The sequence below is a fragment of the Homo sapiens genome, chromosome 2 (genome assembly GCF_000001405.40).
Source record: "Homo sapiens chromosome 2, GRCh38.p14 Primary Assembly".
Lineage (NCBI taxonomy): Eukaryota > Metazoa > Chordata > Mammalia > Primates > Hominidae > Homo > Homo sapiens.
Window position 1 is genome coordinate 65,603,612 of NC_000002.12, and position 6,942 is coordinate 65,610,553.

Here is a 6,942-nt window from a genome sequence, read left to right on the forward strand (position 1 = left end):
AAAGACTCCACAAGAATCTCTACTAAGCTGTGCTTGATTTGCCTGTACATTGGGTAGGATGCCTTTGAATGCAAGTTACAGAAAGCACAGGTCAGAATGGTTTAGGCCATTCTGGATAATTTGTTATCTTGCATAGGGTAAGTTGCAGGTTGGTTCCAAAATCAACATCCCAAGATATACAAGTGTCTCCCATTCTTTCCATTTTGCCCTTCTCAATGAGCTTTGTGCTTTCTCCTTGTGCCAAGATAGCAGCCAGATTTCTGACATCAAAATAGATATGACCTTGTCCAGCAGAAGAAAATTCTCCCTGTGTGTTGCTTTTTATTATTATGGAAAGATTTCTCAGAAACCCCTTCATTGACCTTCTGTCACATCTCATTGGCCAGCACTGGATCACAATCGCTTCCTAAATCAGTCAGTAGGGAGGTGAATGGGCTCACACTGACTACTTAGAGCTATAGATGAATCAACTCCTGGGTCAAGTGGGCAAGAGGTGGATCCCTGACCAAAATCTCACACACATGTACATACGTGCATGCCTATCCAATAATAGCCAACTGCTGAAGTGTGTGTACTCCACAGGCAGATGCTGATGCCAAGTTTGGGGTGCAAAATGTTATTAGGGTTCAATTCCTTTGAAGGGAAGGGAGAGAAAGCGGGGTTGGGTAGTGGAAGGAGTTGAACTGCAAGGTAGGCCTGAAAAAGTCTGGGCCATTTCTTGGCTTTGGAGGGTTCCGGGGCAAGTATTGCCTGCTTGTATCCTGCATTGGGTCGAAATGACCAGGACTTTATACCTAGGAGATGACTCATCAGATGTGGGCTGCTGGGAGAGGCAGCTCTCTGCAGCTGAGGCAGATTTGGAAGGCTACATTCCCCATAGCTGGGCAGAAGGTCCTGCCCTGCTGGGGGATCAGGGTGGTATACCCCCATGTATGTCATGCCAACCGTGTCTGTCACAGCCCAGTGTGCATAACTACATGAGTGTGAAAAATATATAACTGCATTTATTTAAAAGGATTTTATAGTCTCTTCTGGCCACTAGTCCAAACTCTCTCTTTCTCTATTCCCAGCCTCAATTTTTCCAGAGCAGCAGGGTTTTACTATATTATGTTTATGTATGGATTGTAGGTGGTTAGAGCTCAATCAGCTCTTGAAACTCACCTGTTCAATACGAGCATTAGTTAAGGAAGCCAGGGTCCATATGAGTTCTGGACCTCAACTTGAAATCTTTCATGTAGTAGGCATTCAATGAATACTTGTTAAATTGAATTAATCAAGGACACAGACTCAGGATTAGAACCTTGCTCTCCCAGCTTCTAGTCCAGTGTTCTGTGAACCTTGCTGTCTCTCTCTCTCTCTCTCTCTCTCTGTGTGTGTGTGTGTGTGTGTGTGTGAGAGAGAGAGAGAGAGAGAGAGAGAGAGAGAGAGGGACAGACAGACAAAGACAGAGAGTAAACTTTGGAATATCAAATAATTCTAGTAGTTTTGGTCCAGTGGTCTGGGATTTTACATTATCATGCATACTAGTAGGAAAACTCAGACAAATCAGAATTATTTCACTGGATAAACTAGAGGCAGATGTATCTGGCATTCACAATGGTTTTATTTTATGGGCTACATTGAGGGAACCACCTCAAACTTGGGTGGGGCAGTAGCTACTCAGCCCAGCCAAATATTGCCATGGGGCAATGCAGGCCCAAGATAGCCTGTATCCTCTGCTTCCTCAAGAGAAGCTGGAAATCTGAATTTTTAGGTGATATCTACAAAATTTTTAATGTTGTCTCAAAAATTTAAAATTGTCACGTTGGCCAACTCAAACATGCTAGTTTGAAAACTCTAATCCAGTGGCTCTCAACCAGGGGCAGTTTTGTTCCCCCGGAGACATTTGGTAATGTCTGGAGATATTTTTGGCTGTCACCAGGGGAGCCGGAATGCTACTGGCATCTAGAGGCCAGGGATGCTGGTAAACTCCCTACAATGCACGGGGCATTCCTCAACCAAAATGTCAATTGTGATGAGGCTGAGAAACCTTACTTTAGTCATATGTTAAAGTCAAAAACAGAAACTGCCTCTTTTTCACTGGGACCTCCTCTGTGAAAAGTGGCAGTTGGGGCCTGCCCCAAAACAGGAAAACTCAATTTCAGAGCTTCAAAAATCAACACTTTTAAAAATGGTTGCTGAGTTACAAATGGCCAAAAAGCATATGAAAAGATGCTCAACATCACTAACTACCAGAGAAATGCAAATCAAGACCACAACTGAGGCATTACCCAACCATTACAGTGGCTACTATAAACAACAACAATAACAGACAGTAAGTGTTGAAAGGGATGTGGAGAAGTTGGAACCCTGGGAATTGTTGGAGGATGTAGAATGGTGCCACTGCTATGGGAAACAGTATCATTGTTCCTCAAAAAAATTGAAACTAGGACTACCTTATGATCCAGAATCTCACTTCTGGGCCTATATCCAAAAGAATTAAAAGCAGGGTCTTGAAAAGGTATTTGCACACTCATGTTCATAGCAGGGTTATTTGCAAGAGCCAAGAGGTAGAAGCAACCTACATATTCATCAGTGGATGAATGGATAAACAAAATGTGGCATTTACATACAATGGAATATTATTCAGCCTTAAAAGGGAGAGGAATTCTGACACTTGGTGCAGCGTGGATGAACCTTGAAGACATTATGCTCTGTGAAACAAGCCAGACACAAAAGGAAAAACATTGTATAATTCTACTCACATGAGATATCTAAATTAGTCAAATCGTAGATAATAGGAAGTAGAAGGGTGGTTGCCAAGAGCTGGGGGAAGGGGCAAAAGAGAGTTATTTATAGTTATAGAGTTTCAGTTCTGCAAGATGAGAAAGTTCTGGAGATGTATCTCACAGCAATGTGAATATATTTAGTACTACTGAACTGTACACTTAAAAATGGTTAAGATGGTACACTTTATGTTATGTGGTTTTATTTTTACCACAATTAAAAAAATAGGTTACTGAGCTGAAAAATAGTTCACCAACAAATTCTAATCTCATTGTATGAGTTATGCCAAGGTATTTTGAAAAACAAACACAAAAACAGAAAGTGTCATTTGTAGAGAACCAAATCACAGTTTTCCGTGCATTTGAGGAGAGAAATAGCTAAACCACCAGAACTGTGACTGAGTGATAGGTGACTAAAATGATAAGCATTGCATCAGGGCTTCAATCCTCCTACACCCCTAGGGCTCAGTGTCCTTATGTGATCAGATCACTAAGGACTCACCAAGGTTCACAGCTGGTGGGATAAGAGCTGGTGAGGTGGGGCCAGGCATGGTGGCTCACACCTGTGATCCCAGCACTTTTGGGAGGCTGAGGTGGGTGGATCACCTGAGGTTGGGAGTTTGAGACCAGCCTGACCAACATGGAGAAACTCTGTCTCTACTCAAAATACAAAATTAGTCGGGTGTGGTGGTGCATGCCTGTAATCCCAGCTACTCGGGAGGCTGAGGCAGGAGAATCACTTGAATCTGGGAGACAGAGGTTGTGGTGAGCAGAGATGGCGCCACTGCACTCCAGCCTGGGCCACAAGAGCGAAATTCTGTCAAAAAAAAAAAAAAAAAAAAAGAGCTGGTGGGGTGGGTTCCCTCCTATGGTAAGGGAAACCATCACTGCTGAAAATTTTTCCCTGTTCTACCAATTATGACACTATGCTCTGAGGCTTCCAGAAGTTGCCTTTTGATATAAAAACTGAGATTTTAGAATTCCAAAATTTATCTCTCAAAAAAGTCTCTGCTATGTGTCTACAGTACACATTCTGAAATCAATTGCATTTTTCATCCTGGACTATGTAGGCAGGCCTGCTTAGAAGGCAATGGTCTGTTGCCCAAAGTGAGGGGAGAGGGAAGGGGATGAGGAGGGTGGAGGGGAGAGGAGGATCTGATGCCATCCTGATGCTCACACTGCTTCTTGCACTCCATTGCAGGCTTCTCGCAGGCAGGCTCTATGTCTTCATCTTACACACCAGGGCTAGGCTGGCACAATAGCAGCTACTAAAAAAGTGTTTGAATCAAGGAATGAGTAAACACGGGGGTGACTTGACCTCTTTGTGTCTTCCTACCTTTAAAATAGGGTTAGCAATTCCTGGGGGTGACCTCAGGCAACTCTGCGAGCCAAGCCAGGTTTCCTCCATTCCCCGTGTCTTCCCTGGTGGTGGACCATTTCCCTTCCCTACTAAACACTGCCGTCTGAAAAGCCTTCCTGCCGGCTTTGCCCCACATTACACACTGGTTGATGGGTTCTCTTTCCAGAGGGTATTTGTTTCTTGAGCCTCATCTGTCGTGTGAAGTGGAAGGGTAGTTTTTTGTTAAGAGGATTTTCAGGTGCAGTTTGTTGGGAGAGGTTCTCTGGGGCAGTCGGTCCCTTCCTGGGCCCCTGGGTCTGCTGGGTACATAATCTGCTCTGCTTACATTGAAGGCTGGCCCTGGAATCCCTGCCCCACCTGCATCACCAGGCTGTCACGGGGATAAAGCGGGATGATGGATGGAGGAGGACTTTGAAAAGTTAAAAGCTCCTCGCAAGCGCGAGTTGTTATTGTTGTTAATCCACAGCCGTCGGGGAGGTGCCCCTCTTGAAAAGAGTCCCATCTCTAAGGAGACTGAGGGCAATTTGGAAAGAGGTGGCATTTATGGGTTTCTTGCTTTAAAACAAAACAAAACAAAACAAAACAAAACAAAACAAACAAAACAAAACACATCCCCCTCCAGGGTATACCGTGAGTGAACAGGATGAAGAGTTATTCTTAAAATCAGAATGGATAAAGGTTCCCTCTGACCCCCCACCTCCCATCCTACTGTAAAGCCTCTAAAAGCTGCAAACTTTGTTTTGGCAGGTTCACTGCCAAATGACAGAAAGCCAATAGCCTTAATTTTTCTCTCTGTTCCCACATCTCCTCTCTACCCTCCCATCCCCCTTCCATTATTTTAGAACAAGTCTCGGCTTGGAGCTGATCTTTAACTTCTGGAAACTGAATTGGTTCTGTGCGTATTTGGCTTGGCTGAGTGAGGGGAGAAGGGCTTGCTTTTGCAGGAAGAGGAGAGGGGTGCACGCTGGGGGAAGTCTGGGAGCTGGGAGGAGATGGGAGGCTGAAATCCAAGTTTGCACCCTCTCTTCCTAGGCCTGCTTCCGCGTGGGGCTCACAGCATTGTCAGCCAGTCCTGGGGGTGGTGAGAGTGGGTAGGAAGGCAGGAGGGAGAGTTTGAGGTGGTCAGGTCCTGGGTCTGATTATTATTCTCACTGCCGTTCAAATTTTGCTAAATGCGGGCCAATTGCTGGAAAATAAATCACGAAGGGGCGAGAGGTGGCTGGTGGGTGTTTATGGGGGTGATTTGTTGTCCTATAGGGAGGTGACGGTTTCTACTGCTCTTCTGAAGTGGAAGGGGGACGTCCCTGGCTGCCTTTCCCTCCTTGCTGGCTATTTTCATTTTTTTCTTGGGGGAGGCTTGAATGCGCTCAAGTATTAACTAGAGGCCACGGATTGGCCCGGGTTCCCGCGACTGGATTGGGCGGCACAGGAAGACCCGTGAGCTGGGGAGTTGAAATTCCATCCTCTGCCCTCACCAACGGCTGGCAAATCGAGCCCTTCTGTTCCCTGAGAGCAGCCCTGAGTGTGAAGGGCCTCTCTGAAAGCAGCCCACGGGATGTGGCCAGGAAACAGGGCTTTGTTTCTGTGTGGGGTATAGGAGAAACGATTTTCTGTACTCTGGAATCTTCAAGAGCTTCACCAAACATTCCCAGAATATGGCTTCTCTCCTGTTGTTCCTTCCTCTCTCGCTCTCCTGTCTAAATCCAACTCAAACTCCAGGGACTGTTCAAATCCCACCTCCTTCTTTGTTTCTAGAACAGTCATCTCTTCACTGCATGAGCGCCCAGAACCCCGTTTATGCTCATCACAGGAGCAGGCACCTGATTACCTGAAATTACATATATGTTGGCACTTGGGAATTTATTTATCTTGCCAGTTTATGATGTATGTCTTAAGACTTGCTCTCTGTCTGTATGTCTTATGTTCTTCTTGAGGTTATTAACTTCTTTACGACAAACAGTACAGCCTAGTCCTTTGATATACTTTTAAATTCTAAACTTTGTAAACATTTTCTTTCTTTCTTTTTCTCTTTTTTTCTAGACAGAGTCTGGCTCTGTTGCCCAGGCTGAAGTGCAATGGTGCAATCAGAATTTACTGCAACCTCGACCTCCTGGGCTCAAGTGATCCTCCTGACTCACTCAGCTTCCTAAGTAGCTGGGACTACTGGTGCGTACCACCATGCCCGGCCCTTTGTAAGCATTTTAAAACCCATTACTTTTTTTCTTTTCTTTCTTTCTTTCTTTTTCTTTTTTTTTTTTGAGATGGAGTTTTGCTCTGTTGCCCAGGCTGGAGTGCAGTGGCACGATCTTGGATCACTGCAACCTCCGCCTCCTGGGTTCAAGTGATTCTCCTGCCTCAGCCTCCTGAGTAGCTGGGATTATAGGTGCATGCCACCATGCCTGGCTAATTCTTGTATTTGTAGTAGAGACGGGGTTTCACCATGTTGGCCAGGCTGGTCTTGAACTCCTGCCCTCAAGTGATCGGCCTGACTTTGGCCTCCCAAAGTGCTGGGATTACAGACGTGAGCCACTGTACATGTCCCCCATTTGTTTTTTTTTGTGTGTGAGTATAATTTATATGAAATGAGGAGGGCAGACTTTGGAAGGGAGGATGCACCCTCAGGAGTAGATGAGGTTCTAGCCTCGTCTATACCACAGGGATGTGCCTTTACTTCCTTCTCCTGCATTAGGCATCAAAACTAGATCATCACACTCTCCTCAGTCTGACGACTCTTTCCATCAGAGCCACTATAGATCAATCAATCAGAGCAGGCTCTTGTTCTGAGGCATTCATGGGGGGCATGTGGGCTCTTGTGCA

The 6,942-nt window shown here is 45.3% G+C and overlaps 1 annotated feature.

Annotated features, from left to right (window-relative positions):
- Window positions 2,616–3,095: an enhancer, noted in NCBI's record as "active region_15937". NCBI's record gives its function as "activates an Ori minimal core promoter by ATAC-STARR-seq in GM12878 lymphoblastoid cells {active_cell/tissue: GM12878}" and the evidence as "EXISTENCE:reporter gene assay evidence [ECO:0000049][PMID:35858748]".